Raw genomic sequence first — 26,826 nt, forward strand, 5'->3', positions numbered from 1 at the left:
TCTCAAAAAAACAAAAAAAAAATTCAGAAAAGGTCAGGGATGCTATTCCTTTACCTGTATTCCAAATAGGATTCACAGATAGAAAGAAATGAAATCAAGTGTACATGGCAAAAAATTGTGCCTGTAAGATTCATTTTTTAAAATTAAATGGGATGGAGGTTACATGAGTACATACATATGTCAATACTAATTGAACCATTCTCCTAAAATGGGTGCATTTGATTATATGAAAATCTTAAAACAAAAAAGTGCACCTTAAAGTTCTACTGTATTTGCTACTGTATCCAAGAAGACTCTCCCCCAAAAAACATAATTTAGAATTGCCTTCACAGAGATGGTTAAGTTACAAAGCATATCATTATATATGTAATAATACCATATCATTATGAACCATATTATATATGTCAAAGAATCTTCCAATCAGTATCTTCTATGCTTCAATTTTTCCATTTTAAAATATGCATCCTAAATGTAATTACAAAGCACCACAACTGAATTTTGTACTTGAAAACCTATAGATATGAGTGAAACAATAAAGTATAAATAACAACTTTCACTGACAATCCCTTTTTCAGTTAAAAATGACTAAGAATAACTTGTTTTTATAAGTTTTATTAACCAAATTTGAGGGAGAGGCACTTTCTAAAAATGGGCAATTTACACAGAAATGGAAAAGTTGTGAGGAGCTTTTTATGAGTCCCATTCATCTGGAAGCCTCAGTCAGACTTACATCAGAAGAAAAACTCTTTTATAAGAGAAACTCATGTCCCTTGTTAATTACTCTTTATTTCTAATGTACAGTAACACTGAAATACATTTTTAAAAATAATTAACATATAAAGTTAGGAATATATACAACTACTACTACATTTATTATCTAAGGATCCTACTAGGCTATTGTAGTTCCAGAAAAAAAAACTAGTAACTTTATTCATTACGTTCACACTGATGTTTCTGTTGACAGCTCCAGTCATTTGTCAGAGCTAAAATTTTCCACCTTTATTAGCTATTAATAATTGTCAATGATTGAAAATTTTATATTAGAATTTTACAATCTCAACTTATAGCAGCGATCTGAACCAAAGTCAGTATTCTCAAAAACTGGTAACTATCATTAAAGCATTAGATCTTACTGAAATTAACAAATGGTTACTCTTTAAAAAACAGAATTATCAAGGGAGACTCATAATTCAGTTTTCATTCTTTCTTGTAAGCACATACATATTACACATAACAAATTTTGGTTAGTTACTGTTATTGATATTAAGACATGGTTTATACAAATAGTGTGAAATACAACTATTTCATAGCTTCAGTAAGCCCTGTGCCTGTCTATGACCTGTCAATCTATAAAAACATTAACATGAGAGAATAGAGATGAAAGTGATTTTGCTAAAGTTATCTGTTATCCCCAAGCTGTTCAAAGTTGATTCGGTTTTTCTGGCTGAGTAATTTGATATAATCTTTCATCCTTCCAAAGTTGGAAGGGACTATATGAGTTTCTGCTAGAAGTTTGAGACATTTAAGTCACAAAACTGCAAAGTATGTTATCTCACTTATAAGCAGTAAAGATCTCTGTTTAAACTAATTAATTAGTGAAATACCAACTTTGACTATAATTAATAGACATGCTAATATAGTTTTAATAGATTTTTCTTTGTTATGTGACTATCAGCTAAATATAATCTTTAAGCCACATTACGAATATATATGTGCATGTAAACACAGTCATATATATATCCCAGAAATGGAAAATTGTCCAAATCTACCTGTATCCATTCAGTAAATACTTGTTAAGAACCTATTATATACCATTTAGGACCACTCAAAATCATTACTTTTTACATAAGATTTACAATAGACTAAAGAAAGTATTTCTTGATCAAATGCAAGAGTTTTTACGCCATTACAAATCATCCAAGATAACCAAAACCTGCATCTACTGTATTGTTTATTTCATTATTATTTCATTACATATGCATATTGCATTACTGACTTTTAAATTTCATATACTGGCAATTCACAGAGACTTTCAGGACCAGTAAAGTTAACTTGGATAGACCCAAGACAAGTTTTCCAAATAAGTCACATTTCTTCATATGGGTCCTAGTAAACATTTGCAAATACATAATCCTTCTGAGTTAAAGTTGACACCTGACTTTAGAATGTCCCATGTACTCAAGATACCTAACCTTGTAAATTGCCTCCCCTCAGCACCATTCCTACTCATTCAAGGCAGCAACCAAGTTATACCATGGTCTTTTCTTGTTCTCTTCAGAGTTAGACCTATTCTATCTTACTTTTGCTTTGTTCACATCTCACAATTCAGTCAATTCTTTTCAGGCCATCTCTTTCTCATAAGGAAAAACGTGTGCCCCTAAGCCTCTTTCCTTTATTGGATATCTTGGAAAATAACCCATTTCAATTTTTGTGAACCAAAGAAACAGTTTAGTCCTCATGCAATAACTATTATCAGGTACCTACTATGTGCCACACACTGGGCTAGACCCTTAGGAATGGCTAAGTACAAACTCAATGGCCAGAAATATTCTTGTAGCAAGAAAAAGAGAAATCACTGATTTCAATGTCAGATTAGATCTCAAAAACAGTGCAATCAACCTTGAAAGCTCATGAAAGCACCCAGAAAACCCATAAGCATCCTTCCAAATACCTATCCACCTATTAAACTTGCTTTTCTTTAAGCATTCATATTTAGAATAAAAATAATATCTTATCCAACATAATTATTTTATATTTAGTTTCGTCATTGGAATTGACTTTCTTATATTTTTCAAGGTAGCAATGGTTTTTCTACAGCATGGGTAAAATACATGCTTAGACTATAATAAACGCCCAACAGTCACTTGATAAACTGTTTCCCAGGGAAAATGGGTTCTAAATTTCCAACAACCCATTCACAAGTAAACTTCTCAAATACAAAGTGTTTGTAAATTGGGAATGCATTATTCTTTATTTCTATATTTACATTCCTATGGGCCTGGGAAATGGTACCATCACTAAGGTAACACAGTGAATGATTAGTTTAAAATAAAAAATTATTCTGAAGAGTGTGAAGCTGTATGCAAATAATTTTCCACCAGTCTAAGAAGGACTGAGCATGGGAAAATCTATAAAGAAGTAAAAGTAAGTTTGTGATATTATCTCTATGATGTTTACTTTTAAGTGCAAGATACTAACTAGCCCAGAAAAGGTTCCCACAGACCAGTTGAGCTGCTTCTTATACATAGGTCAACAGTCTAAAAAAAAAATTAAAACCTGCAAAATCCCACAAAACAAAACCTGTTTTACAGGCTTCTGTACACGTAGAGGAAATGTTAGAGAAATTACAGCCATTTTATGGTCTATCTAGGGTACAAGCCCTTCTAATGTGTTTACTGATACTCTGCAGAAGTTTTCATTTCAGTTGTTTTGCCTTAAAGGATTCACTTGAATCAATAACTAAAGACATATATATTTTTTGAGGCTAGCAGAGGGTAGATTAGAAACTCTGCTTAGAGTGGTGTATCCTCATGCAGTGACTCAATTTCACAGTTAACAACATACACTTTCTTCCTCCTACAGAACAATGATTACATGCCTCCCTCCATGCCTTTAAAAAGATATATATAATTGGCATACACTCTCCTATTTTAAGATTATACAAAAAAAGTTTTATTGGAATGTGAATAGATATTTTTAAGAGTTTATTTTTCTTTGCTCTATTGCTTATACAAACACAAACACACACACACACACACACACACACACACACACATGGTTATATTAGCTCTTCAACAGAATAAGATTATACGAGAGGAAAGCTTGGTATAAACTGTAAGAACAAAATAACTGCTTTATTCCTTACTTAGAAACCCAAATGCATTCATTCATTTTACATAAAGTAGGAAAAATCAGGTGTCACTTATTGGGTCTAAAAGAAGCAGTCAACATTTAAATTATATATCCTTTGAAGTAACAGTATCAACATTTTTATTTAAATTATGAGAGAATGCTGTAATTTATAATACAAAACAGTGATAATTCAAAATTTACTAACAATAGACAGAAAGAGATAACTTTCTAATTTTCATGCAGTTGAAAGAGAAACATGAAAAAAGGTATACTGTACTGCCACTATTTTATTTTTGGAAACTCTTTGTAAATAAAAACCCATTTCCAAAATAAGATATTCCATGAACACAGAATAGTTGGTAATGGTTCAAGTGCCTTAGGCAACAGAGAAGTATTGTTTTGTAGTTTTTTTAAACCTCTCCTAGTAACAGCAATTCATTATGCACAAAGAAACAAGGTAACAGCATGGTTTATAATGCATATATAAGTAATAACTGCAGAACCTCAATTAAAACTAAAGTTTACCATATTCCTTCCATTTCTATAAACCAGTATAGATAACCTTGTTGATACTCACCAAATGTTACAGAAATGCCTAGGCTTTTCTAAGCAACAAAATGTAGACACATGGTGAGGTGCTGAAGACAGCTCTTTCTTGAGCTCAAAGCACTTTAGATGAAGTAGCCTTTATCGTCCATTTAATAGAGGTTGCCTCCTATTACCAAGCGTGGCAGAGAAAAGAGTTTCCACAATTAGGTCTTGACTTTCTGTCCCTCTTTTTGAAGAGTAACAGTTACCACTGGAAAACGTTACCAGAAAATGATCACTTGAACACTCACATAGGGCAGCTGTAAATTTCCACTCTCTTTGCTTGCTCTCAGATTCCAAGCCTTGCTTGTCTCTTAATCTGTCACAGGCAGTTCTGTTTCTGGTCAAACCAGCTTGCTTATGCGTTCTCCACTCCCTCTCTAACACTTGCTTTCAGATACGTACCACAGTCACAGCTCCCTTTTACTTCCTCCCTCCTCAGTCCTGTAACGTCACAAGAATGCGTGTAAAGCTGAGGCAAAATAAATTCTTGGGCCAAAAAAGAAAAAAGTCTAGAGATAAACAAAATTTTTTCTCATCACTTTTTTCTGTCTTAAGTCTTATACTTGTTCATGCATGGGGTTTTGTCAACTGATTAAACTGGCTGGACCACCTTGTTTAAAAATGTAAATAAAGGTTATTTTTAAAAAAGTCATGTTGATAGTAATAATAACAGATTCACCTGCTAATATGCTAGCTCCTGAAGGAAGATGCTATTCCCAACCATAAGAAAGTGGAGCAAGTAAACACACAAGTACTTGTATTAGAAACTTAATCTTAACATTTAAAAAGCAAGGAAGGTTTTAGAGTACTTATAATTTAAACTGTGCAATTTTATGAAAAAAATGTATTTCTTAATACGGTATATTTTGAAACTTGGACCAAAATTTGCAGTTATAAAAGGGAAAATTATAAAGAACATAGAAAAATATTGACACCAAAAACAAAAGAGCAGTTTAATCATGTATGTGCAAACCAAATGTAATTATTGCTGTTGGAAAGAAGGTTTTTTTTCCCCCTAAACATTACCGGTCAGAATGCATAACACCTCTTATAAGAATTACAAAGTCTAAAGGCTACAAAAAATTATTAAAGTGATTATACACATACAATTATAGAGTAAAGTATCTTAAAATTACGAAACTCTCTGTAAGGTTTGGGGATGAGGAATTAGGTAGAAAGCTGAGTGGGCTCGTGGTTGGCAGGTTTAGATGGCATTTGTAGGATTCTTTGGAATTAGGAGGCAATGTATGCAGCTTGGAATACGTGCTGGCTCTGTATGAATGCTAGTCAGATCCTGCTTTGGAGTTCTGTTCCAGTTCCTTAGCCCAGAACACTTTTAGGTTCTCCATCTCCCACTATGTCCCCAGTCAAAAGTCTTGGGCCCTTCTACTGACGGATCTTCCAAGTACAGAAGGAACAGAAGTAGTTATTAGACCTATTATTAAGTAACACATTCTTATTCTCTGCAGAATTAAAATCTCTCTAAGAATATAAGCTTAAGTAAGGTGAAAGGTAAACATCTATAAACAGTTGTTTATATCCCTTAAGAAAAATAAGTCAGTAAAAGTCGGCCTTAAAATATAGGTGTTTTGATCTCGTTTATTTAAAGTAGAATTAAAATTTAACTATATTATACAGTTATTTGGTTATTTCTTAGCACCTATTAAATAGGTATCAAAGACGACTAGAGATTAGTCTGCCAATTTTTCTTTCAATTAGTAGTTTTATAATTTTTAGAGTTTTATTTCTCCTTTTTAAAGAGATGTTAAATGGAAATAATTCTAAATCACTGAGGGTATGAAGTGTCTAGTACCTTAGGTTATACTCCGAGAGTTGTAGTATAATTAAAGAAATTCAGAATTTATAAAAGTGGTTCTTAGGATAACTGCAAGGTTAATTTAAAACTGGGAGACTGTATATCAATCTATAGTGGATTCAAAGGCACAAAGTCAAGTCAAGGACTTTAAAACATATAATTACTAAGATTATTTATGATTGTTTGTATATTTAATTCCTATTAAATACCATTCCATTTTCCAACAGCAAGAGTGCAGAAATCTCATAATATACAGGAAACTGGGTTGAGTATTCAGAAGGATATTGCCTCAGTAGCGGAACCAAATTAGTTTTAGATTAAAGGTTGTTCTGGTCCCTCTTAATAGAGATTAAAAGTAAGCCCCGAAAGGATCGAATTACTTCCAAATAACTGCAACCCAGAGTAAAATTTTAAAATATTTATATAAATTTTTTAAAATCTAGCACACAATAACGTAAAATTCACAATATCTGACATCCAGTCAAAAATCACCAGGCATGCAAAGAAGCAGGAAAACATAATGCATAAGGAGAAAATCGATCATTAGAAAAAGACTCAGAAATGACACAAATAATAGAATTAGTATACAAAGACATTAAAACTATTAAAAATATCTTCCATAGGTTCAAGAAGGTATTAGAAAGATAAGAATGTTAAGGAGAGACATGGCAGATATAAAAAAGATCTACATCAGATTTCTAAGAATTAAAATTACAATTTCTGAGAAAACATTTATTCTGTTTCATGGAATGAAGTGTTGCCTAACTCTAGAATCACAAATAAGGCCAACTAAGATCTTTAAACAACAGCAACAACAACAAAAAAACCCTATAAACTCTGGAATGAAAATTACACCAAATGAGATGAATAGCAGACTGCACACCGCAGAAGAAATGATTAGTAAACCTGGAGACACAGTGACAGAACTTATCAAAATAAAGCATTGAGAGAAAAAAAGTTTAAAAAAATAAAAATGAACAGAGAATCCCTGAACTATGGGGAAACTTAAAAGAACCTAATGTATACTATATATACTATATTTAGTCTTTGGACCTTGAATAAACATCAGCAGTAGCCAAGAAATAGTTGTTACAGGCCTTGGGCATAACCCAGTACTGTGCTGGCTTCACGTGTGACCCAGCATTGACGCAGTATAGTCCTAGCAGTGGTGGTCACAAGAGGGCTTGCACCATCCCTCCCCGAACTGTAGGCAGCTCAGCAAGGAGAGACAGAGAAAGACTCAGTAAGGGAAGAGAACACGAGACTGTCTGGTAATCCAGGGAATTCTCCTGGATCTTACCCAAGACCACCAAGGCAGTATCTCCTCAAGTCTGCAAGTCACAACATTACTGGGCTTTGAATATCGCCTAATGCAAATTTGGCTGCAGTGACCAAAGACTTAGATCACAACACTCAATTCCCTTTGAATATCTGGAAAGCCTTCTCAAAAAGGACAGATACATTCATCCTTGAGAGGTCTGGAAAAAAAAAAAAAAGACAAGTACAAATAAGCTCGGAGTGTGAAGATTAGAATAAATACCTAACTCTTCAATGCCCAGACAATGACAAACATCCAGAAGCATCAAGACCATCCAGGAAATTATGACCTCACCAAACCAACTAAATAAGGAACCAGTGACCAATTCTGGAATGACAGAGATATGCGACCTTTAAGAGAATTCAAAATAGCTGTTTTGAGGAAGCTCAAAGAAATCCAGGATAATACATAGAAGGAATTCAGAATCTTATCAGATAATATAACAAAGAGACTGAAATAATTAAGAATCAAGCAGAAATTCTGGAGCTGAAAAATTTAATTGACAAACTGAAAAATGCATCAGAGTTTCTCAAAAGCAGAATTGATCAAGCAGCAGAAAGAATTAGTGAGCTTGAAGACAGACTATCTGAAATACACAGAGCAGTCAAAAGAAAAAAGAATAAAAATAATGTAGCATGCCTACAGGATCTAGAAAATAGCCTCAAAATGGCAAATCTAAGAGTCATTGGCCTTAAAAAGGAGGTAGAGAGAGAGATCGGGGTAGAGAGTTTATTCAAAGAGATAGCAGAGAACTTCCCAAATGTAGAGAAAGATATCAATATTCAAGTATGAGAAGGTTATAGAACACTAAGCAGATTTTACCCCCAAAAAACTACCTCAGGACATCTAATACTCAAACAATGAAAGGTCAAGGATAAAGAAAGATCCTAAAAGCAGCAAGAGAAAAGAAAAGAATAACATATAAAGGAGCCCCAACACATCTGGCAACAGATTTCTCAGTGGAAACATCACAGGCCAGGAAAGAGCAGTAAGACATATTTGAAGGTCTGAAAGAAAAAAACCTTTTATCCTGAAATATTATATCCAGTGAAAATATCCTTCAAACATGAAGGAGAAATAAAGACATTCCCAGACAAACAAAAGCTGAGGGATTTCATCAACCCAGACCTGTCCTACAAGAAATGCTAAAGGGAGTTCTTCAGTCTGAAAGAAAAGGACATTAAGGTACAATAAGAATCATCTGGTCATCTGGGCCAGGCACGGTAGCTCACATCTGTAATCCCAGCACTTTGGGAGGCTGAGACAGGAGGATTGCTTGAGCAGAGAAGTTCAAGACCAGCCTGAATAACATAGCAAGACCTCATCTCTACAAAAAATCAAAATTAGCCAGAATTGCTGGCACATGATTGAACCACTGCACTCCAGCCTGGGTGACAGAGCAAGACCCTGCTGAAAGAAAGAAAGAAAGAAAGAGAGAGAGGAAGGAAGGAAGGAAGGAAGGAAGGAAGGGAGGGAGGGACGGAGGGACAGAGGGAGGGAGGGAGGGAGGAGGGAGGGACATATACTCAATGGAATAATATTCAGCTATAAAAAAGAATGAGATCCTGTCATTTGAAACAACATGGATAGAACTGGAGGACATTATGTTAAGTGAAATAAGCCAGGCACAGAAAGACAAACTTCACATGTTCTCATTCATTTGTGGGAGTTAAAAATTTAAACAATTGAACTCACAGAGATAGAGAGGAGAATGATGGTGGCAGGAAGCAGGGCAAAGGGGATAGTTAATCCACTAATGGGATGAGTATAAAAATATAGTTTAATACAATGAATAAGATCTAGTATTTGATAGCACAACAGGATGACTACAGTTAGCAATAATTTGTTGTACATTTTAGAATAACTGAGGGAATACAATTGGAATGCTCTTTTTTTTTTTTTTTTGAGATGGAGTCTTGCTCTGTCACCCAGGCTGGAGTGCAGTGGCGTGATCTTGGCTCACTGCAAGCTCCGCCTCCCAGGTTCACGCCATTCTCCTGCCTCAGCTTCCCAAGTAGCTGAGATTACAGGCATCCGCCACCATGCCCAGCTATTTTTTTTTTTTTTTTTTTTGTATTTTTAGTAGAGACAGGGTTTCACCATGTTAGCCAGGATGGTCTCGATCTCCTGACCTCTTGATCCGCCTACCTCGGCCTCCCAAAGCACTGGGATTACAGGTGTGAGCCACTGCACCCAGCCTGGAATGTTCTTAACACAAAAAATTGACGAATAGTTGAGATGATTGGATACCCTATTTACCCTGAGGTGATTATTACACATTGCATGCCTATATCAAAATATCTCATGTATCCTATAAATATATACACCTACTATGTACCCTAAAAATTAAAATTTTGAAAATTAAAAAGACAACACCTTAATTGAAAAAAAAGTCACTCCAAAAAAATAGTTTGTTTTGATGCTTTTAATTCTAATCTATCATTACAGAATTTTAACTCTACTGCTTTGCTCTTATATTCACCTTCACTTATACCACAAATCTTTGTTCTAATAACACAGTAACATAATGATATATTTGCCTACTCTTTCAATATGTCTAATATAGATTCAAAATAACAGTACCAAAATTACTAAAAATAAAATCACTGAATGAAGTTTAAAGAATTCTTTGCCGTTAACTAATGAAGTGGTCAGCATATAACTGTCAGTAGTGAGTCCTAATGTTAAAATTTAATTATTTTACGTGTTATAAAAACAAAACTATTTTACATTGTTATTCACAATTGAAAGAAATTTCATAAAACAAGATTTCAATTTCTTTAAGTAGAGACTTTAACAACCTATAAATGGTGTAGTTCAATGGAGTTGTCTCAACTATTAAGAAAATCACAGGAAGAAAAAATTAAATGATGTATATAGATCAAGTTACAGTCAAATGGCATCATGGCATGCTAAATATGCAATGATTCTACAGTTATTTGAATACAAAAAAATGGTAGGAAAATTATTTATCACTTAAATGTGGTAGCTTTGGTAGCTTAACTATGCAGAATTCCAAGTTACCTCCTCCACCTCAGCAGTCATATTTACATTATTGAGTGTTGTAAGGCTTTGAATCCATCTTGGCATACTCGTACTATAACAATTCACTAGCAATAAGTCCTATAACTAGCCAATGAATGTTTAAGGTACATTATTGAATTGATTAGTCCATTAAATTAAAACATTAGTGGTTAAAAAAGAGTTCATTGTCAACAATAAAAACAATGGCACAAAACCTGGTTTGTCATGATCCCCCCCCAAAAAAATCAAGACTCTAACATGTAAAATACTCAATACACAAATACATAATTATATGATTAAGTGCCACCTCCACAATTTAGTGCTATATTTTGAATTAAATAATATTAATTTTACTTTATTGGTTTTACAGTTATTTATATTTAATTAACATATTTGTTTTTATTTAAATATATAACAGTTGTAAGAAAAAGTGTATTAAGGCCAAGGCCCAGTGGCTCATGTCTGTATTCCCAGCCCTTATGGGAGGCTGAGGCAGGTGGATTGCTTGAGCCCAGGAGTTCAAGACCAGCCTGAGCAACATAGCAAGACCCCGTCTCAAAAAAAAAAAAAAAAATAGAAGAAACAAAAATTTAGTATGCCAGAAGCAAATGCTATGTGAATGATAATAGTATAAAAAAACTAGAAATCCAGGTTGCGGTCAGATTATGGAGAGACGGAGTGCTAGACAAAAGAGCTAAATAATTTGCGGACAAAACAGGCCATGATCAGAACTTTCTGTAATGAATGTGAATTTGGCAGAAGAATCAAAGGGCAAAGAAACAGTAGGTGATGAAATTAAAGGTAACTCAGTAGTCTAGGATGACAGTGAGGGTAACCAGACAGTGGGAATAAAAGGACTACAAGAGTATAATAGAGAATAGGTTTGGCAACTGAAAAAATATGGATAGTAATTGAGAGACGAGTCAAGATCACAAGGCATTCCCATGCCTGTGTGACAGTAAGCAGGTTATACCTTTAAAACATATAGGAACCACAGGAAGAAAAATAAATTTTATGAAATAGCCAGTTAGTTGATATATAACAAGTCCGAGATGCCAGCAAGGCTTCTGGATATAAATGCCCACAGGCAGCTGAACATACAGAACTAGAACTTGGAGAGAAAACAGACTGGAGCAATATATCTGGGGGTCATCCATCCTGCCACTGCAGTACGAGAGAGACCAAAAAGAGAGCCAAGGACAAAACTTCAAGAAACATCTACAGGTGTTGGTAGAAAAAGGGCAACTGGCTGGGCGTAGTGGCTCACCCCTGTAATCTCAGCACTCTGGGAGGCAGATCACTTAAGCCCAGAAGTTCAAGACCAGCCTGGACAACATGGCAAGACCCCCATCTCTACCAAAAAAATACATACAAAAATTAGTTGGGTGTGGTGGTACACTCTTGTGGTCCCAGCTACTCGAGGGGTTGAGCTGGGAGGGTCATTTGAGCCCTGGAGGCAGAGGTTGCAGTGAGCTGAGATTGCACCACCGCACTCCAGCCTGGGCAACAGAGTGAGACCCTGTCCCCTCCCCCCCAAAAAAAGGCAACTAAATAAACAGTGGTTAGAGAGGGAGAGGAGAAACTGAAAAGTATGTTATCGTGTGACCAAAAAAACCCAGACCTTCAAGAAAAAGAAGCATTTAAAAGTACTTACTACCTAACCCTGTAGTCTAATTTCTAAGTCCCACTTTCAATTCTTACAAAGCAAAGGTATTAGTGGGAAAGGGGCCTTTAGAGAACCACTTGGCCCAGAGAAAGGGACTTTTAAGAATTCATATTCCCTAAATTGCTAAAGACATAGGCTGGTAGTCAGCGAGACAAAAGACAGGCAGGGACCATCAGAGCATACAGCAGTACAGCAAAGCATGAGGCAGGCAGAGGACTCCAGGCCAGCCCTTCCGGGAAACTGGTAACACTGGCTCTGATTCAGGCAGCATGCATAACCCAACTCTGCCATGCCATGCCTAGAACACTGTATGGGAGATTGGAGACTTAGTAGTACCTGACACAACAATAGGATTAGGATTATAAGAGGTTAGGAATGAGGTAATAGAGAAATGAACGTATATTACTGTTTCCAAGTGTTGGATATAAAGACTAGAAGGACAGCTTGAAGGGCTTAATAAAAGAGGTTTTTGTTTGCTTTAAAAAAAAAAAAAAAACCTTTCAACTCTTGGTAGATTGAGTGGGACAGACAGGAGGAAGGTAGAAGATGAGAAAGGGATAATTAATGGGGCATGATCTTTGAGCCCACAATGGGAGGGATCAAGAACATAAGTGGAATAATATATATTTTTCTAAAATGAGAAGGAGGAGAAAGCATTAGTAGAGACTGCCCAGGGAAAGAGGAATGAAGTTAGGAAGCACAGGTTTACTTCAATTTTCTCAGAAAAGCAGGACTCACCATCATCTGAAGAGAACAAAGGTAGAGTAAAAGAATATGTGTTTGAGCAGAGTGAAAATTGGTCTTATCAGAAAACCCACATGTGGCTGGGCACAGTGGCTCATGCCTGTAATCCTAAGCAGTCTGGCAGGAAGTAGGAGGATCCCTTGAGTCCAGGAGTTCAAGACCAGCCTGGGCAACATAGGGAGACCCTCTCTCTATTTAAAAAAAAAAAAAAAATCCACATAAATACAGTAAGAAGAAAAGCTAAAAGGTGTGACTCATGTACACCAAATCCTAAGTTTAACAGTTAAAGTTCCGCTTATATCCACACAATTCCACTTATATCTAAACAATATAACAACGCTAAGTACATGCTATGCTTTTCCACCAACTGCCCAATTTAAGGAATAACAAAGGATGAGGTTAAGAAACAGATCTTGGAGCCCCAAGATTCGATATACAGCTAGTATCATAACAACAAAATGGGCTTAGTGCCATAACCACAGGCAGATGGTGATACTAATAATTCTCATATTTCCCTGTCCTTCTTTGCTGGATCCATGTTCTGTTTTCTCCACAACTGGTACGCTTATGAAAAGTTCTTGCTCAAGTCAGTTAAGAACATAAGATACCTTTTAGTAAAAGAACAATTCCCACCCTGTTGAGAACTGATGTACATTCTCTTTTTATGAGGTGTGTCATACTCCAATTTTCCAAGTTTTTACAAATTTTCACTTTTCTACAAATTATTGAAACCAGAACTATACAAAAATTTTATGTTGGAGAATCATATTATTACTGTTATAAATCTTTAAAAGTACAACTTGTAAGCTGGTGCTCTGAAGCCAAGAAGAAAAACAGGATCTAAAGAGAACACAGAAAGAAAGGACAAAGAAAGAAGCAGGCTGAGTGAAGGGACAGAAAACCTTGAGTTATAAATAACTTGGTTTAAAATGTCAAGAGAAACTAGTCTCAAAGTATCTCTTTCTACAGAGTTATAATGCTTTTTAATAATGAAAGTACTTCACATGACAATTTTCAAAGTCAAAGCCATTTATGGCAAACAAACACATAGCATTTGCAATATAACATATTCAGGTAATTTACTGAATGGAAAAATCTCTATGGAATTCATCCAGTAATTATAGTGGGTTCCATTTATAAAACATATTTTACCACAAATCTGAAGACTTATAAAACATGATCTAGTATAGGAGAAATGATTATAATCCTTTAATAACTATTAATCACAGAACAATTAGTTTTAATAACTATAACCACAGAATGGCATCTTGTTTTACAAATAAAATACAAACCAGTGCACTGTTCTAGCTGTACTCATTCTAAACATGTCTTTTTATCTTTTAATTTTAAATTAAATGTCCATTAAAAAAGTATTTTTTATTTTCTATGCTTCTCTATTGTTTTAAAATCCCAGCCCGGTGTGGTGACTTGTGTCTGTAATCCCAGCACTTTGGGAGGCTGAGGCTGGTGGATTGCTTGAGTCCAGGAGTTTGAGACCAGCCTGGGCAACATAGTGAGACCTCGTCTCTATCAAAAATACAAAATATCAGCTGGGCATGGCGGTGTGTGCCTGTAATCCCAGCTACTTAGGAGGCTGAGGTAGGAGAATCTCTTGAGCCTTGGAGGCGGAGGTTGCAGTGAGCCGAGATAACGTCACTGCACTCCAGCCTGGGCAACAGAGAGAGACTCTCCTGAGAAAAAAAAAAAAAAAAAGAAAATCCCCCACCTCCCTCTTCTCTAATTCCCCTCCCCAAGATTAAGCACTATTCAAAGTGCTATCCTTCCAGACCCTTTTTCCAGGCATACGTAGATGTATGTATTTGTTTGAATACACACCAAGATAATTTTTTAAATGAGATAATACTATACACACTGCATTATAATTTATTTTATTTCTTTATAGTAGATCTTGGATTTCTCTACATTTGGTAGCTCTATCTCATTCTTTTAAAAGTGTTGCATGGTTGCACAGTAGATGCACTTGGCACTGAAAACTCGACTTAAGTATATCCCGAGGATGACCCTGAATGTGGTTCACAGTTTTGAGCTAAGGAATCTGGGATAAGCTGGAGACCCATTCCTTATCTATGAGGAACATTCGAGCCCCCAGCCTGGCTCATGGAACACAGGGCATAGAAGGGATCGAGGTCCTTTGTTTTGGGTTAAATGAAGGTTACCAGGTGGAGGTTGTTAGGGAGAAGGCATTAAGTGAAAATGCTATGTAAACTGCATGACTGTTGCAAGCAGTTGGTTCTCTTGCCTAGCCCACTGCCACTGGACTCTCTTCCCTGTATGTAAACTCCCCCCAAAACCCTCTGTCTCCTTTGCTGGCTCTGGGTCTCCTTGGCCTCTAGAACCTGGTGCCATCCCCACTGGAGTTGATAGGGGTTCAGCACAAATTGGTGTTCCTTAATATTGCTGTACTACAGTTTGTTTAACCACTTCTCTATATATAGACATACAGGTAGGTGAGGGTGTTGTTTTTTGTTTTTGTTTTGCTATCTTATAATCTATTTTAAAATTAGTCACTGATAACATAAACAAATCAGAATTTAAAAACACAATGTTAATTCTCCTTGGAAAAAAAGCCATAAAGTGATTATTTGTATTATTCTAATAATACAGATAAATAAAATTTACCTTTGCCATTTAAAAAAAAAAAAATGGCAAAAACCACAATTACTTTTGCACCAACCTAATAATAAGCATTTTTTTCATTTTAAATATTTTGGTTTCTCACAGTTGATAAACATGCAAAATCTGTCATTGTTTTCAATACAATGTTATCAATAATTCTGAAAATTTACACATGCAACTCATTTTCAAATTAACTGCACATTATGGCCTTTGGATATGCATTGGATACCCAATGTGTTTGAGGGCTAAATCTCACTAATTCTCCACTATTACTCAATTACGTTAAGCCAGCAGTCCCCAACCTTTTTCGCACCAGAGGATGGTTTTGTGGAAAGCCATTCTTCCACGGACCTGGAGGTTGGGATGCAGGGGATGGTTTCGGGATGAAACTGTTGCATCTCAGGTCATCAGGCATTAGAGTCTCATAAGGAGCCTGCAACCTAGATCCCTCACATGCACAGTTCACAGAAGGGTTTGTGCTGTCTATGAGACTCTAATTCTGCCACTGATCTAACAGGAGGCGGAATTCAGATGGTAATGCTTGCCAGCCAGCCACTCACCTCCTACTGTGCTGCCCGGTTCCTAACAGGCCATGGACAGGTACAGGTCTGCAGCCCAGGGGTAAGGGACCCCTGCATTAAGCAACTCTTGATTGGTGTTTTCAGAAGCCTAGTGTGATACTAGGTTCTCTAAGGAATTCAAAAGAGGTCTGTGATAAAAGATCTGTCTTCAAGGAGCTTGTACAACTTTTGTGAAAACAAAACAAAACAAAACAAAACAAAAAACCTTAGCTATCTATATAAAATCATTACACCTGAATACAAAGTTTTGAAGAAAATACAAAAGGAAGAAGAAATATGCAAGGGACCAAGGTATATTTTACCGTATTTTATCATAAGGTAAAATATAGAGATTACCTAAGTGAGGAAAGAAAAGGAGTAAGTGAAAGAAATGGGACTTTTTTAATTGTACAAAAATCATAGACTTTATAAATTCTTCTAAAACAACATATTTCCTGAGGATTTGTTAGCAAATACCTAAGAAATGGGAATTTAGATGCACTTTGAAAAAGTACTAGGATTTGGATATAGTGAGATAGAAAAAGGAACAATATCCCAGCATAGGAAAATTTTTTAGCAAAAATGCAAAGACTGGAATGAAAGTAGAAAAGGGACGGAAAGAGAGGTAGGGAAATGGGAGAAAAGAAAATTGTGGTTAAAAGGGAAATACATAGGGAAGTTTTTGAGGTGGAGTGGTGGACAGGGAGGGCACATATATTTGTTGTCAAAGGAAGAAGCCTGGAGAGAGGTAAAAAGCTATTCCCTGTACACTTGGCCCAACACGTTTTGGTCCCATTTCAACCAATACTCACCCTTTTAACTGGCTTCTACAAGAAATCCAGATACACCAAGTATTTCCTGGCTTTTGTAAGTTTTTATATGTGAGGTCACAGTGAAGTGTCACAATACACGACATAGCATTTCTCCAGAGTTCCTATTCCTTTCCTGCTGGATTTTCCCTGTGCCTTTCAAGTTTTTCTTCCCTTTTTTAAACAGAAAATTTAAACTCTATCTCTTCTAGTTCCAAATATGTATTCCTAACTCATCCTAAACTGCAACAAAACAGAGACTCTTCCAACGGCAAGGACATACCTCCTTAAAAGGCAATTTAACAACCGTCTCCAAATACTTGAACAAACCCTTTGTGGAGTCAACATTCATCACAAATGAATTATCCATGCTTTTCTTCCAAACAAATTCTGCATTTTCTATACAATTCTTAATGCTTACTAAAAGATTAACAATTTCTCCATTGGGATAGAGTCAAAACTGCAGATGAAAGATTTGCCTTAGTAAAAAGAAGCATAATGTTATAAAAAATGAATCATTCTTTTCAAGAAATAGAGGCAGCAACAGTTCTTAAAATTAAATAAGAACTAGAAGAATGTAGTGAGACAGAATCTTGTATACTGCTGAGTAGAACAAAATCCCCAGGAACCTTTCTAGAAAACAATTTACCAGAATATTCATGCTTTTTAACATATCAATTCTACTAACAAAAAGCTATCCTGAGAAAATAGAGATGGCTAGATGGTAAATGATGTTATTGCAATGTTATTTACAAAGGAAAGCCAAGAGTATCTACAAAAGGGAAACAGTTGAATAAATTATGTTATGCTACCATCTTAGAATATTATAGACATATAAAAATATTTTAAGTGCCATATATAGTCACATAATAAAATATGTTAAATAAAAATCAAGAAATAGGACTAATACTTCAAATTCATTTTAAAATCATAAATATTATATATATACAACTATGTGTGTGTGTACAGAGACATGCATAATTTTATATAGATAAAAGACTAGAAGGAAATACAACAAAATTTTAACAGTAATTTTCTCTGGGTAGTAAGACTACAGATTACTTTTTTCTTCTTTATAATTTTCTGTAACAATCAAATTTTCTACAATAGCATTTATAAGTGGAAAATTTGTTTTAAAAAAGGAGCAGCTTTGTTTCGCCATTAAGTAGGCATTAAAAAAAAATGTAGGCTTGCTGGGCACGGTGGCTCATGCCTTTAATCCCAGCACTTTGGGAGGCCGAGGTGGAGGTGGATCACTTGAGGTCAGGCGTTCGAGACCAGCCTGGCCAACATGGTGAAATCCCATCTCTACTAAAAATACAAAAAGTTAGCTGGGTGTGGTGGTGCGTGCCTGTGGTCCTAGCTACTTGGGACGCTGAGGTGGGAGAATCACTGAAGCCTGGGAAGTCGAGGCTGCAGTTAGCCAAGATCATGCCACTGCACTCCAGTCTGGGCAACACAGTGAGACCCTGTCTCTAGAAATTTTAAAAATAAAAATAAAAAATAAAAAATGTGGCCAGGCGCGGTGGCTCACACCTGTAATCCCAGCACTTTGGGAAGCTGAGGTGGGTGGATCATGAGGTCAAGAGTTCAAGACCAGCCTGGCCAATATGGTGAAACCCCTTCTCTACTAAAAAAAAAAATACAAAAATTAGCGGGGTGTGGTGGTACACACCTGTAATCCCAGCTACTCAGGAGGCTGAGGCAGGAGAATCACTTGAATCTGGGAGGCAGAGGCTGCAGTGAGCCAAGATCGTGCCACTGCACTCCAGTCTGGGTGACAGAGCAAGACTCTGTCTTGGAAAAAAAAAAAATTAAATTAAAATAAAATTAAAAATGTGGGCTCTGATATATTTATGATCTATACACTCTACACTATGGTACTGGTGAAGCCTATAGACTTCTGAGTTTCCATTATAACCCCATGTTGAGTAAAGTTTTAAGGGCACAGGAAGGGTGCTGATTTGGACCTCATACAGAACAACTTTAGTGACACTAGAATGTGAGCTTTGTGAGGGCAGGATGTTGGTGTGTTTTGCTCACTGCTTCATCCTCAGCACCTAAAATAATGCTTTGTACACGGTAGGCACTCAACAAATATTTGTTAATAAATCTCCAACTAATTTTTTAAAAATTATAAATTACTTTCCTGTTTTCTACTATGCCTTTTGTCTCTAATCATAAGGAAAAACAGAGAGGAAGTGCTGACTTTTAGATGATGAGTGGGGAAGCTCATAAAGACAGAACTGGAGTTTTTTGGTTTTCATTGTGTTTTTTGTCCTACAAAGCAAATAATGCTTTCTCTCAGAAAGAAGCTCACTCAGGCTTACTCTGACATGTTCAACTTTACTACTGACTTTCCTAACAAGCAAAGAGCATTTATGCTGAACCACATCTTCTGGAAAGTCTTGCTTTTACCCCAACTGTCTCACTGTTCATGGATGGGGAGGTGCAACTAAACTGGGTTGTAGTGAGGACAGAACATGTCACTCTGTTACTGGCTTTAGAAAAAGTAGAGCCAGTGGCCTATGATTCCAAATAGAAGAACTATTGCCCTTCTACAGAATGTGCTTTCAAACCTTGCCCCTGACCCACAACAAAAAATACGGCTAACACAAAAACCCCAGTAACAAGCTAACATGTGTGCAAGTAAAGCAAAAGTTTCACAAAACAACTGCTCTTACCACATCTGATGCAGTCTGATATTGTCTATGCTATTCAATTTAATATTTTTAAACTGTGGATTACAGCTCAGCAAACTGATTTTATGACCTACTAGTGAGTGGAAAGCCACAGTTTGAACAATGCTGACAAGGAGACAGTGCTTTCTTCCCCTGGACCTGTAGGCACTATGTAACGGAGTATCTAGTCATGAAGAAAACTGGCTCTGGAGCCTCCTACCTGACTTCACGTACTGCCTCTGCAACTTACAAGGTGCCTGGACAAATTACTTAACCTCTCTGGGCCCCTATTTCCTCATATGTAAAATGGAAATAACATACCTATGTCATAGGATTATTATAAGGATTAAATGAATTAATGTATAAAGTACTCAGAATAGTGCCTGGTACACAGTGAGCACTGTATAAATATTAGCTAAGATTATTATTATTAATGTGCCTACTGAGGAGGAAAAACACACACTGAGAATTAGGTAAGATGTAAGAGAAGGTCAAGAGGTCCTACGTATCCTGATGCTCTTGTTAGAAGCAGAAAAAGAAAACTGATAATCTCAAAATCTTCTACATAGAACCAAGCAAATGTTAGTCTATAGTAATTTGGTGTTTCTCTTTGATGCCTAAATAGATATTTGAATTAGATCTCACAGTTTATGTTGGCATCTAAAATCTCACTGGCTCTTATCTGAACCCAATCCACTCCTGATTAAGATAATGGTTGGATAGTAATCCATTCCTGATTAGTGTTGAATAGTTAATTTTGAGATAGTGGGCACTTTATATTCCAATTTTTAAAATAGCCTTATTGAGATATCATTTACATACCACAAAATTTCATTATTTGAGTATACCAGCCAATGATTTTAGGGGATTGAGGAGAGTTGTGTAATCAACGCTGCAATTCAATTTCAGAACACTTCCTTTACTCCTATTTGTATCATCTGCCTACTTGCAGTCTGCCTATTTTAAATGAGGAAAACAATCATGCATTGCCAGGCCATCCAAAAACCCCAACTAATTCCCGCAAATATGACTAACATACCCAACTTAACTATTTAACACTACTGTACCAGATAGAAATTACATTTTCCTTCTACAGTGAAGCCAACATGTCCTGTAATGTAAATAAACAATAGAATAATATGTTAACGATATTAAAAATATTATCTAAATTGGACTCAGGCACCTGGCAGAAGCAAATAACAGAAGCAAATAACGGAAGCAAAAACCTTCAGGGAAAGGAAAGAGAAAATAACAATAAAATACACCTTTGGGAGCTTAAGAGGATGGGGATATTCTATCAGGGGAAGACTGAAATAAAACTGTAATAGCCTCTTATGTTTTCCCCAAGAAGTTTTCAGCAGTGCTTACAGGCAGAATTCTTATCCCATGTTTTCAATCCAGAAATTAAAATCTGAGTTAAAAAAAACCCTGCAAGTCATTATGCTAAATATTCAGAAAGTGAGAATACCCACTAGGGATGGCTATAATGAAAAAGACATACTAAGCACTGGCAAAAATGTAGAGAAACTGGAACTCTCAAACATTGCTGGTAAAAATGTAAAATGGAGCAGCTGCTTTAGAAGCAGGTCAATAGTTCCTCAGAAATTAAACACAGCCACCGTATGACCCAGCAATCCCACTCCTAGGTTTATATCCAAGAGAAATGAAAACATACACCCATACAAAAACTTATACATGAATGTTCAAAGCAGCATTATCCATAATACCCCAAAAGTAGAAAAAAAAATGTCCATTAACTGCTGAATGGATAAATGTGGTACATTCATAAAATGGAACATTATTTGGCAAAAAAAGGAATGAAGTCCTGATACATAATACAATATGGGTGAAAACACTATGCTAAGAAGCCAGTCTCAAAAGGTCACATATTGTATGATTCCATTCATATAAAATGTCCAGAATAGGCAAATCCAGAGACATAAAATAGGTTCATAGTTGTCTAGAGTTAGGAGGGTTGAGAGGAAAGGGGAAGTGACTGCTAAGGGTTACAGAGCTGCTTTGCAGGAAGATGAAAGGGTTCTAAAATAATTGTGAGGATAGTTACACAACTCTGTGAACATACTAAAAACTACTGACTTGTACACTTCAATGGGTGTTCTAGAATTCTAGGATACATTAATTCTATCTCAATAAAGCAAACACATTTTGTTTATTTATTTTTTTGAGACACAGTCTCGCTCTTGTCACCCAGGCTAAAGTGCAGTGGCATGATCTCAACTCACTGCAACCTTCCCCTCCTAGGTTCAAGCGATTCTTCTGCCTCCTGAGTAGCTGGGATTACAGGCATGTGCAACCATGCCCGGCTAATTGTAGTTTTAGTACAGCCCGGGGTTTCACCATGTTGGCCAGGCTGGTCTCAAACTCCTGACCTCAAGTGATCTACTCACCTAGACCTCCTAAAGTGCTGGAATTACAGACATGAGCCACCACGCCCAGCCAAGCAAACATATTTTAAAAGCATCATTTTGCCATGTGCTTTTTACTCTTTCACCTCATGTATATTTGAAAAGAACCTTATGTTTTTAATTAATTTACATTTTATTCATCAAAATGTTTTGTTTTTTGAGATGGAGTCTCACTCTGTTGCCCATGCTGGGTGCAGTGGTGCGATCTCGGCTCACTGCCACCTCTCCCTCCCAGGTTCAAGTGATTCTCTTGCCTCATCTTCCTGAGTAGCTGTGATTACAGGTGCATGCCACCATGCCTGGCTAATTTTTGTATTTTTAGTAGAGACGCAGTTTCACCATGTTAGCCAGGCTGGTCTCGAACTCCTGACCTCAAGTGATCCACCCGCCTCGGCCTCCCAAAGTGCTGGGATTACAGGCGTGAACCACCCTTAGTCATCAAAATATTTTCAAAGAACTATTCGATAAATATCAAGTCTTTCAAAAGTTCTTCAAAAGCTTATTTTCCTCCTTTGAATCATAAAGTTCTATTCCACTAAAAAATATGAAATTCCAGCCTGAGCAACATGGCAAAACCCTGTCTCTCAAAAAAATACAAAAATTAGCCACATGTGGTGGCATATGCCTGTAGTCCCAGCTGCTCAGAGGACTGAGGTGGGCGGACTGCTTGAGCCCGGGAGGTCAAGGCTGCAGTGAGTCAAGATCATACCACTGCACTGCAGCCTGGGCAACAGAGAGAAAAGAAACCCTGTCTCAAAAAATAGGAAGAAGAAGAAATGAAATTCAAAATGTAAAATTTCCAGTGCTTGAATCACAGTTTTCAAATTCAGCTTCAGTACTGTCAATTGGCAAAACAACAACAACAAAAACCCCAAACTTTATTATTTTAATCTATTTGGTTCATATTTTGCAAGAGATGGTGGATCTAGAAAACTTTAACCGGGATTTTATGACCTTCCCCTCCCCACCCCGCCAAATCTGAACAAAGAGCTCAAACTACTTTTTTTCCTTCTTTTATTCCATATCATATAGAAGAATGCCACAGTTGCAAAAGAGCAAGCTATCTCTAAAATCCAGGGCCAAGATCAGCAATCCCAGTACTTAAGTCAAAAGAATCAATAAACAGTAAATAGGATTAATTAAATTCATTCTATGTTTCAATTTGTCCAGGTTTTAAACACATTATTCAATCACAGCCATCATAAAATAAGAAATATTATATTAAACGCATTAACTTTAGATTAGAGGATGACAAGTTTAAGGAAGTTGCAGACATCCATTTAGATATCTGTGAAAGGACAATTATTTTAATATTCTTTAATGTACAAGATTTTATTAATATTTCTACAGCACTGTCAAGAAAAAAAGGAGGCCCCAATGAACTGACAAGTAGGCTAACATATAGATTTGTCTTGCCATATTTCTCTATGTAAGTAAATTCAGTTCTGAAAAATAATGCATAAATATACTTTAATGATACAACTTCATTTATCCTCACCTTGTTGACTTTTTCATCTTATGTTCCCAAATCTACTCCTCTGCTGGGTTATTAGCATTTTGCAGTTATAGTTATATATTTTATCAATGTATTAGAGACAGCTAATTGCCTTCCAATATCTGTTCTCCACTTCTTCCCTAACAAAACGCTGTTTATTTCATCACTTTGCCAAACAGTATAAAAGCTCAATTTTCCAGGCTGTCGCCTCAGCTTCCCAAGTAGCTGGAATGTCAGCTAAAGGAGTCAGTGTGACTTAGTCCTGGACAATAAAATGCAAGTAGGGGCTTCTGGGTAGACATATTTTTCTTTATTCTTCTAAGTAAAACCAAAAGCCATGTACATTATGTTTATTATATAAAATGTGTTTGCTTTATTGAGATAGAATTAATGTATCCTAGAATTCTAGAACACCCATTATTCTAACTTTATTAGAAATGCTAAGCATCAGTATTACTGTTGGAATTACGAGAATTTGAAAGATAGCTGCATATAAGGTCAAGAATCAGTAAGTAGAACTACAAAGCAGAAAAAAAATTATTACATTTAATATAACAGTAAATTCTAAGGGACTTAGAAATAAATTTAGCAAGCGAAGAACACATCTGCATGAAGAAAAAAATAATAATCATATCTAAGGGCAAAGAATAAGATCTGAACTAGTGAGCAAAATATCTGTACATTATATTTCAACTAAAACCAAAAGGATTCTGAAAGGTGGAGAGACGACAAACTGGCTAGGGACCTCAGGACCCAGGAGAAAACATGGTAATGATATCCTGAATTTTCTTATTTTTGCTTTCTATATCCCACTCTGGATACTGGTGAAGCCAGCAACCCAGGAACACCAAGTGCAAAGAAACTGCCTCCCCTCTCTGCCCGCCCCTGGAAAAAGACTGCTTTCTCTAGCCAAAGGAACATGAAAGGGGCAGCAAGACAGAAAACTTAAAGGCAATAAATAACTCCAGACAAACACCACAGAAAAAAGTGAAACTCCACCCGACCCCCACCAGCAAAAACCAAGTGGAAAGCCTAGACTTCCATCCCTGTCTGGCTGTAAGAGGAGGCACCCCAAGCTCTTTCCCTAAATGGGGAACAAGGGGAAAGTTGGGACATTCATCCCCCTTGAGCATGATCTAATATCCCCCTTCCCATCTGCGCTAGTGGAGACCACTTTAGGAGCCTGGACTTGCAGCCCACGCATCAGTCACAAGGTGCTCCTCCCCCGACTGCAGGAGTGGTGCCAGAGGAGACTTGTTGAGTGCTGGACTTTCACCACCACTTAGCAGTACCAAGGCCTCCCCTCCACATGGTGTCAGTGGAGGTCCATCAGAGAGCAGTAATAAGGCACTCCTCTACCTCCTAATGAGAGGGGTACCAGTGGAGGCCTAGTGGAGAGCCTGAACCTCCTCCTCTACCCAGCAGTAACAAGCAAACCCCCTCCCCTAGGTGGTCAACTGAGAACAGGGAGAGAACCAAGCCCCTCTGGTGGTAATGAGGCAACCCTGTCTACCCCCAGCAGTAGTGTTGGAGGGTGCCTGCTAAAACACAGATTTAAGTAAGACCCAGAGTCTTATAACATAATACACACAAAAAATAATAATAATACACAAATGTCCAAGTTTCAGTCAAAAATCACTTATTTAATCACAAAGAGATATACCATTTGTTTGATGGGGGCGGGGAGAGAGGGATAACTTATACCAAGAACCAATAAAGATCTCAAACTGAATGATTAAAGACAATCAAAAGATGTCAACACTGAGATGAAACAGCTTGACTGTGCAACAATTTTCTTTTCCTCTCAAAATCTTCTGGCCCTTCAGATTAACACTCCACTGACATTGCACTTATACAGTAAAAGCCTTTACTAATTTATAAATTATAAACTTTGTGATAAAGGAAAGAGTTAAGTATTTCCAAGGAATTTTAGCCCAAGGAAAAGTCGGCATTTAAAAATTTATTTCTGGCCGGGCGTGGTGGCTCACACCTATAATCCCAGCACTTTGGGAGGCCCAGGTGAGTGGATCACTTGAGGCTAGGAGTTCAAGACCAGCCTGGCCAACATGGCAAAACCTTATTTCTACTAAAAATACAAAAAGTTAGTTGGGCATAATGGCATTAGCCTGTCTTCCCAGCTACTCAGGAGGCTGAGGCAGAAGAATGGCTTGAACTGGGAGGTGGAGGTTACAGTGAGCTGAGATTGTGCCACTGCACTCCAGCCTGGGAGACAGAGCGAGACTCTGTCTCAAAATAAATAAATAAATATAATTTTAAAGTGTATTTCTCCCTTAATTTTTTTTTTTTTTGAGGGATGAGTCTCACTATGTCCCCCAGGCTGGTCTCAAACTCCCAGGTTCAGTGATCCTCCCACCTCAGCCTCCTGAATAGCTGGGACTATAAATGCACCCGGCTTCCCTTACTTTTTTATTTCTTAAACTTACCGTTGATTAGAAGCAACCGGAATGAATTCCTTGCACTTCTCAAATTTATTATTCTCTAATATTAGTTACCGTGCAATTCTTACAAGACCAAAAGCATTTTAAAAGTCAATCTTTAAGTATTAAAAAATATACTGGAAAGACTCACCAAAATAATTTATGAATGAGATGATACTAGGTCATTTTTAAGAACACTAGAAAATGTTATTTTTACATTCTCAGTGTACAGAATTTTTTCCAAGTTATACGTAAAAACTAGGAAAAAACAAAATCCACAGACCTAATGCAGAAATGTGATACAGCTTGGGTGAGGATAAAAAGAGGAAGAAACAGCTGTGCTACTCATGAAGGACTATACCATAGATCATTGATGCTCTATCATTAGTATCATCAGGATCACCTGGACGGCAGGTGAAACAGATTACTGGGTCCTTTCCGCAGAATTTCAGATTAAATAAATCTAGGGCAGGTGAGAATTGGCATATCAAACAAGTCCCCAGGGGACGTTGATTCTGCTGGTCCAATGACCACATTTTGAGAACCACTGCCTTAAAGAGATGATGCCTGTGCAGATCACAAAATATAATAATAAAGGTCAGCTACTGGAAGCCTAACTCTAGTGAAGCAAGCAGAACAGCTGTACCTAATTCTGAATTAAGAGTAAGAATTAGAGGCCAGGGACAGTGGCTCACATCTATAATCCCAACACTTTGGGAGGCCAAGGTGGGAGGATCACTTGAGGCCAGGAGTTCCAGAGCAGCCTGGG

At 36.7% G+C, this 26,826-nt stretch overlaps 1 protein-coding gene across 12 annotated transcripts in view; it reads right to left on the minus strand.

Moving 5' to 3' along the window:
* CAB39L (calcium binding protein 39 like) overlaps positions 1 to 26,826 on the minus strand; it is a 135,415-nt gene that overhangs the window by 88,054 nt on the left and 20,535 nt on the right. For 2 of the 12 annotated variants that reach the window (NM_001287337.2, XM_047430697.1), the window contains exon 4: positions 4,430 to 4,567. The exons of 3 other annotated variants lie outside the window; for them this stretch is intronic. The gene's annotated coding sequence lies outside the window, so the exon portion shown is untranslated. Of the gene's footprint in view, positions 1 to 4,429; positions 4,885 to 16,208; positions 16,338 to 17,020; positions 17,049 to 26,826 lie in introns of those variants that run through there. 7 more of the 12 variants (NM_001287338.2, XM_047430699.1, XM_047430695.1 and 4 more) reach the window with 7 other exon arrangements.

Source organism: Homo sapiens, chromosome 13 (assembly GCF_000001405.40).
Source record: "Homo sapiens chromosome 13, GRCh38.p14 Primary Assembly".
Lineage (NCBI taxonomy): Eukaryota > Metazoa > Chordata > Mammalia > Primates > Hominidae > Homo > Homo sapiens.